At 54.1% G+C, this 15,663-nt stretch overlaps 1 protein-coding gene across 4 annotated transcripts, besides 5 other annotated features; it reads left to right on the forward strand.

Moving 5' to 3' along the window:
• On the forward strand, positions 59-7,808 carry GTPBP3 (GTP binding protein 3, mitochondrial). 4 transcript variants are annotated; one of them, NM_001195422.1, is made up of 9 exons: positions 59-199; positions 3,085-3,332; positions 3,442-3,528; positions 3,616-3,818; positions 4,031-4,103; positions 4,200-4,343; positions 4,511-4,676; positions 6,121-6,399; positions 6,555-7,808. In NM_001195422.1, exons 1-9 carry the CDS (start codon positions 81-83, stop codon positions 6,778-6,780), a joined length of 1,545 nt encoding a protein of 514 aa, NP_001182351.1. In that variant the 5' UTR covers positions 59-80; the 3' UTR covers positions 6,781-7,808. The 4 variants fall into 4 exon arrangements, with proteins under 4 accessions (NP_001182351.1, NP_116009.2, NP_001122327.1 ...); NM_032620.4 differs by lacking the exon at positions 59-199 and adding an exon at positions 2,630-2,741; NM_001128855.3 differs by lacking the exon at positions 59-199 and adding an exon at positions 2,630-2,741 and having other exon boundaries at positions 6,184-6,399.
• Positions 1,599-2,270: an enhancer, noted in NCBI's record as "H3K27ac hESC enhancer chr19:17447331-17448002 (GRCh37/hg19 assembly coordinates)". NCBI's record gives its function as "activates a minimal SCP1, AML or CMV promoter by ChIP-STARR-seq in naive H9 embryonic stem cells {active_cell/tissue: H9 hESC(naive)}" and the evidence as "EXISTENCE:reporter gene assay evidence [ECO:0000049][PMID:30033119]".
• Positions 2,271-2,942: an enhancer, noted in NCBI's record as "H3K27ac-H3K4me1 hESC enhancer chr19:17448003-17448674 (GRCh37/hg19 assembly coordinates)". NCBI's record gives its function as "activates a minimal SCP1, AML or CMV promoter by ChIP-STARR-seq in naive H9 embryonic stem cells {active_cell/tissue: H9 hESC(naive)}" and the evidence as "EXISTENCE:reporter gene assay evidence [ECO:0000049][PMID:30033119]".
• Positions 2,943-3,614: an enhancer, noted in NCBI's record as "H3K27ac-H3K4me1 hESC enhancer chr19:17448675-17449346 (GRCh37/hg19 assembly coordinates)". NCBI's record gives its function as "activates a minimal SCP1, AML or CMV promoter by ChIP-STARR-seq in primed H9 embryonic stem cells {active_cell/tissue: H9 hESC(primed)}" and the evidence as "EXISTENCE:reporter gene assay evidence [ECO:0000049][PMID:30033119]".
• Positions 11,168-12,129: an enhancer, noted in NCBI's record as "H3K4me1 hESC enhancer chr19:17456900-17457861 (GRCh37/hg19 assembly coordinates)". NCBI's record gives its function as "activates a minimal SCP1, AML or CMV promoter by ChIP-STARR-seq in primed H9 embryonic stem cells {active_cell/tissue: H9 hESC(primed)}" and the evidence as "EXISTENCE:reporter gene assay evidence [ECO:0000049][PMID:30033119]".
• Positions 13,911-14,415: an enhancer, noted in NCBI's record as "H3K27ac-H3K4me1 hESC enhancer chr19:17459643-17460147 (GRCh37/hg19 assembly coordinates)". NCBI's record gives its function as "activates a minimal SCP1, AML or CMV promoter by ChIP-STARR-seq in naive H9 embryonic stem cells {active_cell/tissue: H9 hESC(naive)}" and the evidence as "EXISTENCE:reporter gene assay evidence [ECO:0000049][PMID:30033119]".

The raw sequence follows: 15,663 nt of genomic DNA on the forward strand, positions 1-15,663 counted from the left end.
GCGTCTCCGCCCGTGTTGTTTTCTGGGTTTCCTTCTCGCCCGCCTACCTCGCTCCCTGCTGCTGGTCCCCGCCCGCACTGATGGTGCATTCTCCAACTTGTCCCCACCCATGCTTTCTTCTGGTCCCCGCCTCGGAGCCTCAGTTTCCCCATCTGCAAACTCCGGACCCTGGAGACGCTGTTTGGAATGTGAGATGGGCGTAAGTTGACTAAGGGAGGACGTGGGAGGGGCGGGCCGGTTGGGGAAGATTCCTGGTGACAATAACTTCAACCACCCCAGTAGGGCTGTGATACATAATTACAGCAAGCCCTGCTTAGGAACTTTGCACGCACCATTTGGCTGCCTAGAACACTCCTCATGCACTCTTCGTCCGGTTAACACCGACTCCCTTCAGGATGTAACCTCGGAGAGGATCCCATAGAGTTGTCAAGTTTAGCAAATAAAAATACAGTCCGTCTAGTTAAATGTAAATTTCAGATAAAAGAATAAATGTTAGCTGGGCGGGGCGCACCTGTAATCCCAGCTACTTGGGAGGCTGAGGCAGGAGAATCGCTTGTGCTCAGGAGGTCAAGGCTGCAGTGAGCTGAGATCACACCCACTGCACTGCATCCTGGGCGACAGAACGAGACCCTGTCTCAAATACATATATATACATACATACATAAATGTTTCTATGTCCTATGTCTACATGGGACATACTAGTACTAAAAAATTATTCATTGTTTATTTGAAATTCACATTTAGCTGGGCGACCTGGGTTTTACCTGGCATTTGGCCAACCCCTGACTATTCTGAGTAGCTCAGTCTGTTAGACTGAAAGCCCAGCGAGGGTAGGAACGAGGGGCCAGGTCTGGTTCTCAATGCGAGCACACAGTAGGCGCTTGCTGTACGCTTGTTACAGATGTAACAACTAGCTTGTTACAGATGTAATAACTAGCTTGTTACAGATGTAACAACTAGAGAATGGCAGATGAAATATAAATATGTCATCATTTGTTCCTATTTTACAACTTAAAATATTAAAGCCTCGGCCGGGCGCAGTGGCTCACGCCTGTAATCCCAGCATTTTGGGAGGCCAAGGCGGGTAGATCACCTGAGGCAAGGAGTTCGAGACCAGCCTGACCAACATGGCCAAACCCTGTCTCTATTAAAAATACAAAAAATTAGCCAGGCATGGTGGCGCACGCCTGTAGTCCCAGCTACTTGGGAGTCTGAGGCAGGAGAATCGCTTGAACCTGGGAGGCGGAGGTTGCAGTGAGTCTAGATCGCGCCACTGAACTCCAGCCTGGGCGACAGAGCGAGACCCCGTCTCAAAAAAAAAAAAAAAAAAAAAAAAAAGCTTGGGCAACGTAGTGAGATCCCCGTCTCCACCAAAAAAACGAAAACAAAACAAACAAACAAAAACAACAAACAAAAAGAAACACCGAAAAGTTAGACTGGCATGGTGGCTCGCGCCTGTGGTTCCAGCTACTCAGGAGGCTGAGGCGGGCGGATCCCTTGAGCCCAAAAGTTGGAGGTTGCAAGAGCCGTGATCGCGCCACTGCACTCCAGCCTGGGCGACAGAGTGAGACCCTGTCTCAAAAATAAAATAAAATAAAATAATAAAGTAAATAAAAATATTGAGCAGGGCGAGGTAAGGGGGTATTAGAACTCTATTCTGTCAGACAGATTTTTCTTAACACGCAAGTGCGCCGCCCGCCCGCTCTGATCCAGAACCAGAGAATCCGCCATGCGAAGGCGCTCCCGGAGACCCCGCCCAGCCAGTGCCTGGAATTCCACCATCAGCGCTTTATTCCGAGTTTCAGTGCTGTCCTGGGTTAACCTGAAAGCAATCTCCGAGGCTCCCCTTTCTGGCTTTCGGGGAGCCAGAGACTGACCGGACACTTGGCTCTGCAGGTGCAGACCTGGACCAGAGAGACAGAGAGCCAAGGAAGTCCACAGTGGAGAGAGGGCTGTGCTGGGGGTTCCAGGAAGACTTCCTGGAGGAGGGGATCTTGGAGCTAGGCCTTGAAGACGAGTTTGTCAAATGAGGAAGGGCATCCGAAGCCGAGGGAACGGCAGAAGGGAACGCTGGGGAGGGGAGAGAATCTGGAGAGTTCCGGAAAAAGCAAGTAGGACTCTTTCCAGAAGTTCGGGCAAGATTTTCCCTGGATCAGGGCGTGGGTTCTCCAGTACTCGTCCCTCCCGGTCACCGAGATGCTCTGAGTTTCCGGTCTGAACCTGAACGTAAAGAGGTGTAGTCCCTCCTTTCTTGAACGGGAAAACTGAACGCACATAGGTCCTTGCCACGCCTAAGGCTGCGGAGTGAGCAGATGGAAAATGCGGGACTCAAAACCTCCCCTCGCTGTAATTTGCACTGCCCTGTGCCAAACTCTGTCCTTTCTTCCATTCCTTATTCCTATTGTCAGCCTCGCTGCGCTAGGACCCTAAAAATTTGGTCTCATGTTGCCCGGGGAACAACATTTCGCTACACCTACCTCCATACCGCCTCCCGCTCCCGCTCTCCCTTGCACCAGCCAATGGAAGCGAGTATCTTCAGACGGTGGGCAGGACGTATCCTAAGATACCCAATGGTGGTCGAGAATAGTTGAGCACTTTACTAGTCAAGCCGCGGAGTGGGCGGGGCCCCCTGCCCAGACTTGAAGCCACACAGGCAGGTCGGGCAGGCGGGTCGCAGGTTGTAAATCCATGTGGCGGGGGCTTTGGACCCTGGCGGCCCAAGCGGCACGTGGGCCTCGCAGGTGGGGCTACAGGGGAAGGGGTGCGACAGCTTGGGGTGCTGCTTGGACCCCAGACCCACTCCCTGGGTTTTAGGGGCCCAATTCCCTGCGGCAGAGCAATCATTCGCGTTCTTCCGTGCCTCAATCGTTCATGACCCTTGCGGCAGAGCCCATATCTGGGTCTCCTTCTGGCCTCACAGTCCCTAATCCGGTCACCCTTCGGCCTTCAGAACATCCAATTTGTGCATCCCCCAGCCGCAGAACCCCCCCACCTGGAGCATCTCGCGATCATCGAGCCCTCGGTCTACTTGACACTGAGGCTGAGCCTCCCAGGTGCGCTGATTCGCCTCCCCTCCGGTTCCAGATTGTGCACGCGCCGGAGCAGCGGCGCACCAGCCCCCGGCTCCGGCGCCACCATCTTCGCGCTAAGCTCTGGCCAAGGCCGCTGCGGCATCGCAGTGATCCGGACCAGCGGCCCCGCCAGCGGCCACGCCCTCCGAATTCTCACAGCACCCCGAGACCTGCCCCTTGCTCGCCACGCCAGCCTGCGCCTGCTCAGCGATCCCCGCTCCGGGGAGCCTCTGGACCGCGCACTGGTGCTCTGGTTCCCAGGTGAGGGTCCCCAGGTTCCGAGCCTCCTGTAGGTCCCATGACTCAGTTTCCCCCTTCCAAGGGTTTGCACTGGCTGTGCTGTCCTCCTGTCACCTGTCTGTCACATTAGGTCCCCAGAGTTTCACCGGTGAGGACTGCGTGGAGTTCCACGTGCATGGAGGCCCGGCAGTGGTGAGCGGCGTCCTGCAGGCCTTGGGTGAGTTGCAGCGTTGGGTGAGATGCTTGGTCCTCCCAATGGGCCTGGGTGGGGACCAGGGGGTGTCAGACTGGGACCTTCCTGCAGGCAGCGTGCCAGGGCTTCGACCGGCGGAGGCAGGCGAGTTCACCAGACGGGCGTTCGCCAATGGGAAGCTGAACCTGACCGAAGTGGAGGGGCTGGCGGACCTTATCCACGCGGAAACAGAGGCGCAGCGGCGGCAGGCCCTCAGGCAGCTGGACGGAGAGCTGGGCCACCTCTGCCGTGGCTGGGCCGAGACCCTCACCAAAGCAAGTCCCCCATTTGTCCATTCTCTCCCTCAGAGACCCCATCTGTGCAACCCCTGCATGAGACCCCCTCTCAATCCCGCATTCATTCCCTGCGTGAAAGCTTCCGGCCTATGAGCCGCCATTCTGGCCCCTGAAGTCGGGCTGGACAAATTGGGTGTGGGAAGGTGGGTTTCTGGGTGCACACACCACCTCTGCTCTCCCTGCCCCGCCAGGCTCTGGCCCACGTGGAGGCCTATATCGATTTCGGCGAGGATGACAACCTGGAGGAGGGGGTCCTGGAGCAAGGTGGGTCTACCTGGTGGTGGGGGAGGAAGACACCTCATATCAGCCCTCAAAGGCTCCCCTCACTGTCTCTCTCTGCCTGCCTTCTCTCACCCACAGCCGACATCGAAGTACGGGCACTGCAGGTGGCCCTGGGTGCACATCTACGAGATGCCAGGCGCGGGCAGAGGCTCCGCTCAGGGGTGCACGTAGTGGTCACTGGACCCCCCAATGCGGGCAAGAGCAGCCTAGTGAACCTGCTCAGTGAGTAGGCGGCGGGAAGGGGGCGGGGCCTAGTGCCAGGGGCGGGGCCAAGAGCTGGGTTATTGAGTTAGTTGTTCAGGTCTAAAGCTCCCTCCAGACATGGGGTAGAACCTGGGGGAGGAGCTCCCTTGTCTCCACCCTCTCCTCTTCTTCTGACCCTCCCCCAGGTCGGAAGCCTGTGTCCATCGTGTCCCCGGAGCCAGGGACCACCCGTGACGTGCTGGAGACCCCAGTCGACCTGGCCGGATTTCCTGTGCTGCTGAGCGACACGGCTGGGTTGCGGGAGGGCGTGGGGCCCGTGGAGCAGGAGGGCGTGCGGCGCGCCCGGGAGAGGTGGGCGGACAGGGTGGTGATGGGAGGGGAACGCGGGGCCCTTTCTCTGCCTTTTCTCCCTGTTGCGTTTATTTTTCATTCTTCCTGAATCAGAGAACCTGCTAAGCCCTATCAAGCATGGATCTCAGGGATTTGGTTCTTTTTTTTTTTTTTTTTTTTTACTCCGAGACCGAGTCTTGCTCTGTCGCCCAGGCTGGAGTGCAGTGGCGGTATCTCAGCTCACTGCAAGCTCTGTCTTCCGGGTTCAAGCAAGTCTCCTGCCTCAGCCTCCCAAGTAGCTGGGATTACAGGCGGGAGCGACCACGCCGAACTATTTTTTTTTTTTTTTTGTATTTTTAGTAGAGATGAGGTTTCACTATGTTGGCCAGGTTGGTCTCTAACTCCTGAGCCTCGGCCTCCCAAAGTGTTGTGAGCCCACCGCACCTGGCCTGGTGTTTTGTTTTTGTTTTTGAGACGGAGTTTCGCTCTTGTTGCCCAGGCTGGAGTGTGCAGTGGTACAATCTCGGCTCACTGCAACCTCCGCCTCTCGGGTTCAAGTGATTCTTCTGCCTGGGCCTCCCGAGTAGCTGGGATTAGAGGCGCCCACCACAATGCCAGGCTAATTTTTTGTATTTTTAGTAGAGATGGGGGTTTCACCATGTTGGCCAGGCTGGTCTCGAACTCCTGATCTCAGGTGACCCGCCTGCCTCGGCCTCCCAAAGTGCTGGGATTACAGGCGTTAGCCACTGTGCCCGGCCAGTGATTTAGTTCTGATTAAGTCCTGCCCCCGGCCCTCCGGACATGTTTCTCATCCCTAAGCCCTCCGCCCAGCCCTCACGTTCTGCCCCGCCCTCTCGTGCTCTGTCCCGCCCTGGCACTCCGCTCTGCCCCTTGCGGTCTATCCCATCCCCTGTGCTCTGTCCACCCCCTACATTCTGCCCCACCCCTGGTGCTCTCTACCCCTTACCCTGTGGTGTGTCTGGTCCTTCTTGCTCTGCCCCGCCACTCATGGTCGCCCCACTCCAGTGCTGTACCCGGCCCCTTTTGCTCTGTCCCAGCCCCTGTGCTGTGCCCTGTCCCTCTTGCTCTGCTCTTCCCCCTGCACAGTGCTCTGCCCCTCTTGCTCTGCCCCGCCCTCCTGTGCTGTGCCCCGCCCCTCCTGCCCTGCCCTACTCACTGCACTGTGCCCAGCCCCTCCTGCTCTGCCCCGCTCCCGCACCGTGACCGCTCCTCTTGCTCTGCCCTTCCCCCTGCACTGTGCCCCGCCCCTCTTGCTCTGCCCCACCCCCTGTGCTCGGCTTGGGCCCCCAACATTCTGCCGGTCCCCTGGTACTCTACTCCTCCCTCCCGACCTCACGCTTCGCAGCTCCCCCAGTGCTCTGCCTGGCCCCTCTAACTGTCCCTCCACCCAGTGCCTTCAATTGCTCAACCTGGGATCCCCGCTCAGTTGACCTTGCTCCCGCAGGCTAGAGCAGGCTGACCTCATTCTGGCCATGCTGGATGCTTCTGACCTGGCCTCTCCCTCCAGTTGCAACTTCCTGGCCACCGTCGTAGCCTCTGTGGGAGCCCAGAGCCCCAGTGACAGCAGCCAGCGCCTCCTCCTGGTGCTGAACAAGTCGGACCTGCTGTCCCCGGAGGGCCCAGGTCCCGGTCCTGACCTGCCCCCGCACCTGCTGCTGTCCTGTCTGACGGGAGAGGGGCTGGACGGCCTCCTGGAGGCGCTGAGGAAGGAGCTAGCTGCAGTGTGAGCCCCCTCCCACTCCCAGCCTCCCCTGACCCACAGTTTAAGTGTGGGTCCCTCAACTTCAATTTCTGAACCTACAAAATGGGTACAACCATTTCCCCTTCAAGGGATGGTTGTAAAAGGTCGGGAGAGACCATGTCTCTTGTCTCTTCCAGGTGTGGGGACCCGTCCACAGATCCCCCGCTGCTGACCCGAGCAAGGCACCAGCACCACCTCCAGGGTTGCCTGGATGCCCTCGGCCACTACAAGCAGTCAAAAGACCTGGCCCTGGCGGCAGAGGCGCTGCGGGTGGCCCGGGGTCACCTGACCCGGCTCACAGGTGGAGGGGGTACCGAGGAGATCCTGGACATCATCTTCCAGGACTTCTGTGTGGGCAAGTGACGGGATCCAGGGAAGTCGCACCCAAGCTGCGTGGAGACCCAGGAGCCTCGGGGGATCTGGAAACAGTTTAGGCCAATTGGGATTCTCATTCGCCTGGGAAAGAACTTGATTCTCAAATAGTGAAGCAACACAGCTGAGAGGTAGTGAGATCCCTGCAGGGACTCCCTGGAGATTCAGGCCCTGGAATGGGGCTGAATGGAGGTCCCGTTCGACCCTTGATGCTGGGGCATCCGGGTTGGGATGGAGATAGGAGGATCTCAGTATATTTGTTTCGTAGTTTTTTATTTATTTTGCAAATACCAAAGGAATGTAAAAAAAACTCAGGTGATCTAGAAGTGTTTATTTTCTTCCCTTCCCTTCCCTTCCCTTTCCTTTTCCCTTTCCCTTTCCCCTTCCCCTTCCCCTTCCCCTTCCCCTACCCTTCCCTCCTCTGTCTATTGCCCAGGCTGGAGTGCAGTGGTGCGACCTTGGCTCACTGCAACCTCCATCTCCGGGGCTCAAGCGCTTCTCCTGCCTCAGCCTCCTGAGTAGCTGGGATTACAGGCATGTGCCAGCATGCCCGGCTAATTTTTTTCTTTTTTTGAGACAGAGTCTCGCTCTGTCACCCAGGCTGGAGTTCAGTGGTGCGACCTCGGCTTACTGCAACCTCCACCTCCCGGGTTCAAGTGATTCTCCTGCCTCAGCCTCTTGAGTAGCTGGGACTACAGGCGCACACCACCACGCCAGGCTAATTTTTGTATTTTTAGTAGAGACAAGGTTTCACCATGTTGACCAGGCTGGTCTTGAACTCCTTGACCTCAGGTAATCTGCCTACCTTGGCCTCCCAAAGTGCTGGGATCACAGGCGTGAGCTATCACACCTGGCCCCAGAAGTGTTTCAACATGGAAATTTTCCTTAGCCCTTCTGTGGTTGTCATGGCTTAATGTGTGTCTTTCCAGAACTTTGAATGTTTGCATACTTGTGGATGTACCTTTCAAATATGTTTGTCTTGTGTATCATATATAAATGGTATTGTGTTCATTGCTCTACAAATTGTCATTTCTTTTTAAAAAAAAAACAGAATTATGGAGATGGGGGGTCTCACTATGTTGCCCAGGCTGGTCTTGAGCTCTTGGACTCAAGCCATCCTGCTGTCTTGGCCTCCCAAAGTGCTGGGATTACAGGTGTGAGCCACGGTGCCTGGCCTCATTCCTTTTTTAGTCTTTAGTCTTCTTTTTTTTTTTTTTTTTTTTTGATGGGGTTTCACTGTGTTAGCCAGGCTGGTCTTGATCTCCTGACCTTGTGATCTGCCCACCTGTGGCCTCCCAAAGTGTGTGTGTGTGTGTGTGTGTGTGTGTGTGTGTGTGTGTGTGTGTGACAGAGTCTTGCTCTGTTGCCCAGACTGAAGTGCAGTGGTGTGATCTCAGCTCACTGCAGCCTCTGCCTCCTGAGCTCAAGCCATTCTCGTGCCTCAGCCTCCCGAGCAGCTGGGATCATAGGTGTACCCTACCACACCTGGCTAACTTTTGTATTTTTAGTAGAGATGGGTATTTGTCATGTTGCCCAGGCTGGTCTCAAGCTCCTGGCCTCAAAAGATCTGCCCGTCTTGTCCTCCCAAAGTGCTGGGGTTACAGGCGTGAGCCACCACACCCACCTTTTTTTTTTTTTTTTTTTTTTTAGATGGAGTCTCACTCTGTTGCCCGGCCTGGAGTGCAGTGGCGCAATCTCGGCTCACTGCAAGCTCCGCCTCCCGGGTTCATGCTATTCTCCTGCCTCAGCCTCTGAATAGCTGGGACTACAGGCGCCCGCCACCATGCCTGGCTAATTTTTTGTATTTTTAGTAGAGACAGGGTTTCACCGTGTTAGCCAGGATAGTCTTGAGACCCTGACCTTGCACTACCATATCCCATGTCTGGCTAATTTCTTATTTTTTATAGAGATGGGGTCTCCCTATATTGCCCAGGCTGGCCTTGAACTCGTGGACTCAAGCGATCCTCCCACCCCAGCCTCCCAAACTGCTGAGATTACAGGTGTGAGCCACCACACCAGGACAACCTCTTGTATCTTAAAAATGACTGGCAAGGCCGGGCGCAGTGGCTCATGCTGATAATCCCAGCACTTTGGGAGGCCATAGGTGGGCGGATCACGAGGTCAGGAGATCGAGACCAGCCTGGCTAACACGGTGAAACCCCATCTCTACTAAAAATACAAAAAATTAGCTGGGCATGGTGGCATGCGCCTATAGTCCCAGCTATCGGGAGGCTGAGTCAGGAGAATTGCTTGAACCCGGGAAGCAGAGGTTGCAGTGAGCCGAGACCGTGCCACTGCACTCCAGCCTGGGCGACAGAGGGAGAGTCCGACTCCGTCTCAAAACAAATAAACAAACAAACAAAAATCTGACTGGCAAAACCTAGGGGTCTTTCTCCCTCTATAAGCTGAATCTTTATTCATTCATTCATTCACTCACTCCGTGAATATTCATCAAACTCCTGCATCCAGCATTGTACACATCATTTTATTGAATCTTCACCACAGCACGATGTTGTGGCTATTTTCTTCCAGTTTTGCAGATGAGAAAACTGAGGCTCACAGGAATAGTTACTTCCTGGAGTTTCCCCAGCTTTGGGGTTTGAACACAGGTCTGTTTGACTCCAAATCTGAGTTTGCTGAGGGCCTCCTGTGCAGCAGGCAGGATGTTGGGGTCACAGAGGGGAGCAACAGGCTTGGTCCCTGTTCACATTAAAGAAGTGACAAGAGGCCAGGCGTGGTGGCTCACGCCTGTAATCCCAACAATTTTGGAAGCCAAGGTGGGCAGATCACTTGAGGCCTGGAGTTTGAGACCAGCCTGGCCAACGTGGTGAAACCCCATCTCTACAAAAAATACAAACATTAGCCAAGCATGGTGGCACACGTCTGTGGTCCCAGTAACTCAGGAGGGTGAGACAAGAGAGTTGCTTGAACCTGGGAGGCAGAGGTTGCAGTGAGCAGAGATCACGCCACTGCACTCCAGCCTGGGCGATAGAGCGAGACTCTGTCTCGAAACAACAACGAAAAGAAGAGACAAGAAAGAGGTCATTACAGTGAGGCCTGATGGCTGCTCTTTTTTTTTTTGAGATAGAGTCTTTGCTCTTTTGCCCAGGGTGGAGTGGCATGATCTCAGCTCACTGGCAACCTCTGCCTCCCAGGTTCAAGCGACTCTCCTGCCTCAGCCTCCCGAGTAGCTGGGACTATAGGCGTGTGCCACCACGCCTGGCTAATTTTTGTATTTTTAGTAGAGACGGGTTTCACCATGTTGGCCAGGCTGGTCTCAAATGCCTGGGATTACAGGCGTGAGCCACCGTGCCCAGCCTTTTTTTTTTTTTTCTTTAAGTAAAGATGGGGGTCTTGCTGTGTTGCCCAGGCTGGTCTCAAACTCTTGGCCTCTGGTGATCCTGAGACCTCAGCCTCCCAAAGTGCTGGGATCACATGTGTGAGCCACCGTGCCTGGCCTGATGGCTTCTTTGAAGCTCATAAAGAGGAGAAGTGACCTAGTCAGGCAACTTAAAGTGGGCTGCCTGGCAGAGGTGATGAGTGTTGAGATCTGAATGGTGAGGATGTCAGATGGAGGAGTCTGGGGAGGGCACCCCAGGCAGAGGGCACTGAATATGCAAATCCCTTCATATGCATATCCCACTGACACATATTTCACTGGATTACATATCCCACTGATTCAGGAACTTCGCGGTGTGTTCAAGGAATAGTGAGATGGTCAGGTTTTTTTGTTGGTTTGTTTGCTTTTTTTTTTTTTTTTTTTTTGAGACAGGGTCTTGCTCTGTCGCCCAGGCTGGAGTGCGGTGGCGTGATTGTGGCTCACTGCAACCTCCGCCTTCCAGGTTCAAGCAATTCTCCTGCCTCAGCCTCCCAAGTAGCTGGGATTACAGGCATGTGCCACCACGCCCGACCTTTTTTTTTTTTTTTTTTTTTTTTGACAAGGCCTCTCCCTTTCACCCAGGCTGGACTGCAGTGGCTCGATCATGGCTCACTGTAGCTTCCATCTTCTGGGCTCAAGTGATCCTCCCACCTCAGCCTCCTGAATAGCTAGGACTACAGGCATGCGCCACCACGCCCAGCTAATTTTTAAATTTCTTTTAGAGATGGGTTCTCACTATGTTGCCCAAGCTGGTTTTAAGCTTTTGGGCTCAGGCAATCTTCCTGCCTTGGCTTCCCAAGGTGCTGGGATTACAGGTGTGAGCTACTATGCCTGGCCCTTTTTTTGGGGGGGGGTTGGGGTGGGGTCTCACTCTGTCACCCAGGCTGGAATGCAGTGGTACAATCATGGCTCACTGTAATCTTCAACCTCCTGGGCTCAGTTGATCCTTCCACCTCGGCCTCCTGAATAGCTAGGACCACAACCACCATGCCCGGCTAATTTTTAAATTTTTTTCATGGAGACAGGATCTTGCTATGTTGCCCAGGTTGGTCTCAAACTCCTGACCTCAAGTGATCTGTCCGCCTCAGCCTCCCAAAGTGTTGGGATTACAGGCGAGAGCCACCGCGCCCGGCCAGAGGTGGTCAGAGTGGCTGGAGCAGAGGAAAGGAGGAGAAAGAGGAGGGAGACCATTGGAGAAGGGATGGATGGAGGGGTCTGATAGGCAGAGGTTCGTCTGAGATTCTTCGGGGAGCCTGACGTGGCGGGGACCGACCAGCAGAGGGCGCGTCGCGCTAAGTGAGGCGGTCCCCAGCAATCCTCCCATCAGCGCTCCCGGTGCCCCACCCTCAGCGGATCTAGGCCTTCCGCATTCACCTGGTGGCATGTGAATGGTTAACTTCCCCTGACTGGGGTGGAAACTGAGTCTCGAAGAGAATCAGGATCTTTTCTGGAATCAGAAAAAGATCTCCACCTCCAGTGGTTGAATATACAAACTCTGATTTCAGTGGACACAGAGCCTGGGAGGCATCCGCGGCAGAGAGAGGGCACGAAAAGGGCCTAAGGAGGCCCGCAGAGTTTCTGACCACCCAACTGAAGGAGACCTCAGGGCCGGGCGCGGTGGCTCACGCCTGTAATCCCAGCACTTTGGGAGGCCAAGGTGGGTGGATCACCTGAGGTCAGGAGACCAGCCTGGCCAACGTAGTGAAACCCCGTCTCTACTAAAAATACAAAAATTAGCCGGGCGTGCTGGTGCATATCTGTAATCCTAGCTATTCGGGAGGCTGAGGCAGGAGAATCATTTGAACCTGGGAGGCGGAGGTTGCAGTGAGCCAAGATGGCGCCACTACACTCTAGCCTGGGAAACAGAGTGAGACTCCATCTCACATTAAAAAAAAAAAAAAAAGAAAAAGATCTCCACCTCCAGTGGTTGAAGATAGAAACTCTCTGGTTTCAGGGGACACAGAGCCTGGGAGACATCCCGGGCAGACAGAGGGCATGACAAGGGCCAAAGGAGGCCACCAGAGTTTCCCAACCACCCAACTAGAGGAGACCCAGGCCTGATTTTATTTACAGGGTTCCTGGCAGTATGTCACTATTTGTTCATTTCCTTGCTTGTTCAACCAAATCAACAAATTGGGGCTGGAGGGGCGGTGGCCAGAGTGGAAAGGGTCACACCATGAGCTGAGTCCACAGATGTTACTATTGGCCCCATCAGGAAACCAAACCGATGCCCAGAGAAGAAAAGCAATAATGTAGATCTGGGCGTGAGGGGTGGGCTTGAAGTGGGGAGGGTCCTGAAGGCTCCCAGGAGGGGTGAGCTGGGCCTGTGCCTGGGTGGGATTGGAGATGCTCTTTGGACAGGATGCTGGGGCCCCGCCTGCCTTCCCTGGGGCCCTGGCACACAGCTGGCCTGAGGTCCTTGGCTACAATCCTTTTTTTCCAAGAAGGGTGAGGTGGTTTGTGGGAAGCAGCCATGGGGGTTATTTATAGAGGCTGCAGGAAATCCCCAAAGAGTCTGAGACTCGCCAGGCGGTTGGACCTCAGGGTCAGGAAGGGGGCCTGATCGGCCAATTGCTCGACCCCCACCCCCTGTATTCAGCCCCCACCCGGTTCCTGAGGAGTCACCAGCCTGGGACAGTCAGAGCTTTAGGGTCAGAGCTGGAAAGAGGGAGGGATGAGGCTGGGAGAGAGGTTTCCAAAAGGGGAAGCAAGGGCTATATCTGGGACTTCAAGAAAGGCTGCCTGGAGGAGGGGGTCTCTGGAGCTGGGCTTCAGAGGTAGAAGGGTTCGTTAGACATGAAAAAGACTTTCTAATCCAAGGGCACAGCACAAATTAATGAATGTTGAGTCTTTTACAAAGAATTAAAAAGTCCAGGATAGGAGGAGGCAAAAGGGGAGTCACAGATGTGCTAAGGAGTTAGACTTTGTTCTAAGGGTAATAGGGAGCCATGGAGAGTGTGTGAGCAGGAGAGGGACTTGGACAGAGTCTGTAATGGAAAGACTCCTCTGGACCAGCACAGGAGCCATACCAGAGGCAGCAGCTGAGGTGCAAGTGTACAGGGGCTGAGCCAGGGCCAGGTCACTGGGATCGGTTAGAGGGATGATGGCTCCTGGAATGCTCTGGAAGGCAAAACAGACAAAGGACCAGAGGCCTGTGCCCATGTGTCTGGAGAGTTTAGAATTATTACTATTATTATTTTAGAGACAGGGTCTTGCTCTGTCGCCCCGGCTGGAGTACAGTGGTGCAATCCTAGCTCACTGCAGCCTCCAACTCCTGGACTCAAGTGATTCTCCTGCCTCAGCCCCCCAGGTAGCTGGGACTAAAGGTACGCACCACCATGCCCAGCTAATTTTTAAATTTTTGCTAGACATAGGGTCTTGCTAAATTTCTCAGGCTGGTCTCAAACTCCTGGACTCAAGCGATCCTCCTATCTCGATCCCCCAAAGCGCTGAGATAATAGCCATGAGCCACCGTGCCCAGCCCTAATACAACTTTATTTATAAAAACAATGCCTGACCTTAGAGTTATTATTATTACACCCAATGCTTGGATGAGAAAATGGAGGCTAGGATTGACTGAGCCAAGATTCAAACCCAGGGATGTTTGGCTCTGAAATCCTAAATCAGGTCTTCTGGGATGGTTAGGACTGGCTGGCATCAATGTCTCCCCCTAAGGACTCTGGGCTGTCTGGCAGTAGGCTTAGGGGCAGGGATGTCCCCGCTTCCTTGGGGCCTCCAGCTCAGCCCGTCTGGGCGGTCTGGCCAGGCTGACCCCCCTACTCTGTCTTGGCAGAGCCCCAGCTGAGCGCTTCCTGCGGTGACCATCTCTCGCCCTTGTTTCCGTATCCCGGAAATATCGTTCCTTTGTCCCTCCAGACTAGCCTGCCCTAAGCGTGGCGCTGCCAGCTCCCAGGTCCTTGTGACTCATCCGTCCCAGTCCAGGACCCCAGGGGATGGGCTGGGAGGGAATTGAGGGATTGAGAGGATGGGAGGTGTTGGGGGAGGAGACAAGCTGAGATCCTAGCCAGTGATTTCTTTCTTTCTTTCTTTCTTTCTTTCTTTCTTTCTTTCTCTCTCTCTCTCTCTCTCTCTCTCTCTCTCTCTCTCTCTCTCTCTCTCTCTCTCTCTCTCTCTCTCTTTCTTTCTTTCTTTCTTTTTTTTGAGATGCAGTCTCGCTCTGTCGCCCAGGCTGGAGTGCAGTGGCGCGATCTCGGCTCACTGCAACCTCTGCCTCTTGGGTTCAAGCGATTCTCCTGCTTCAGCCTCCTAAGTAGCTGGGACTACAGGCATGCACCATCACGCCTGGCCAATTTTTTTGTATTTTTAGCAGAGATGGGATTTCACCACGTTGGTCAGACTGGTCTCGAACTCCTGATCTCAAATGATCTGCCCGCCTCAGCCTCCCGAAGTGCTGGGATTACAGGCATGAGCAACCATGCCCGGCCCTAGACAGCGATTTTAAGGCTGTTTTTCCTGATGGCCATTGGCTTTATGTCCTGAAGTTTTTACTTGTTAGAGATAAAGCCCCAGGGATGGGGTTACAGAGTCAAAGTTTTGTGCATTCATTCATTTGAGACAGGGTCTTGCTCTGTCACCCAAGTTGATGCATAGTGGTGGAATCAGAGCCCACTGCAGCCTTCAGCTCCTGAGCTCAAGCAATTCTCCCACCTCAGCCTCCCAAGTAGCTGGCACTACAAGAACGCACCATCACACCTGGTTTTCTTTAAATTTTTTGTAGAGACGAGGTCTCGCTATGTTGCCCAGGCTGACCTCGAATTCTGGCGCTCAAGCGATCCTCCTACCTAGGGCTCTCAAAGTGCTGAGATTACAGGAATGTGCCATTGCACCCAGCCTGATTTTATTACGTTTCACTAAACTAGTTTCTGGAAGGGCTATTACAGGACTTGAATTTCTACCAGTCTTGTAGGAAAAGGACCTTTTTTCTACACCTTTACTTGCAGTAGGTGTTGGGTGTTATGACCTTGAAAAGACATTTTCCCAGTCTGCTGGGTGCAATGTGATTTCCCTGTGTTCTTTCGATTTGCTTTTCCCTGACTACTGGCTAATTTAGTGATAGCAGTGAGCCAAAGTGTCTTTAAACTGGACACTGGTACCTTTTCTGGAGAATTCTTTGCAAACCTAGAACTTTCTTTCTCTTTTTTCTTTCTTTTTTTTTTTTTTTTTTTGAGACAGGGTCTTGCTTTGTTGCCCAGGCTGGAGTGCGGTGGCGTGATCTCGGCTCACTGCAACCTCCGCCTCCTAGGGTTCAAGAGGTCCTCGTGCCTCAGCCTCCCGAGTAGCTGGGATTACAGACGCACACCACTACGCCTGGCTTTGTGTTTTTTTGTAGAGATGGGGTTTTGCCATGTTGGCCAAGTTGGTCTTAAACTCCTGGCCTCAGGTGATCCACTCACCTCAGCCTCCCAAAGTGCTGGGATTATAGGGACTACAGGCGTGTGCCACCATGCCTGGCTAATTTTTAAAATCTTTTGTAA

The sequence above is a fragment of the Homo sapiens genome, chromosome 19 (assembly GCF_000001405.40).
Source record: "Homo sapiens chromosome 19, GRCh38.p14 Primary Assembly".
Lineage (NCBI taxonomy): Eukaryota > Metazoa > Chordata > Mammalia > Primates > Hominidae > Homo > Homo sapiens.

Bases quoted from the DNA above. Each gene is read 5' to 3' on its own strand.
- GTPBP3 (NM_133644.4), top strand. From the start codon at position 2,689: ATGTGGCGGGGGCTTTGGACCCTGGCGGCCCAAGCGGCACGTGGGCCT. The intron at 3,819-4,030 runs GCAAGTCCCCCA...CTGCCCCGCCAG, and splicing joins GGGCCGAGACCCTCACCAAA to GCTCTGGCCCACGTGGAGGC. The intron at 4,677-6,120 runs GTGGGCGGACAG...TTGCTCCCGCAG, and splicing joins GTGCGGCGCGCCCGGGAGAG to GCTAGAGCAGGCTGACCTCA.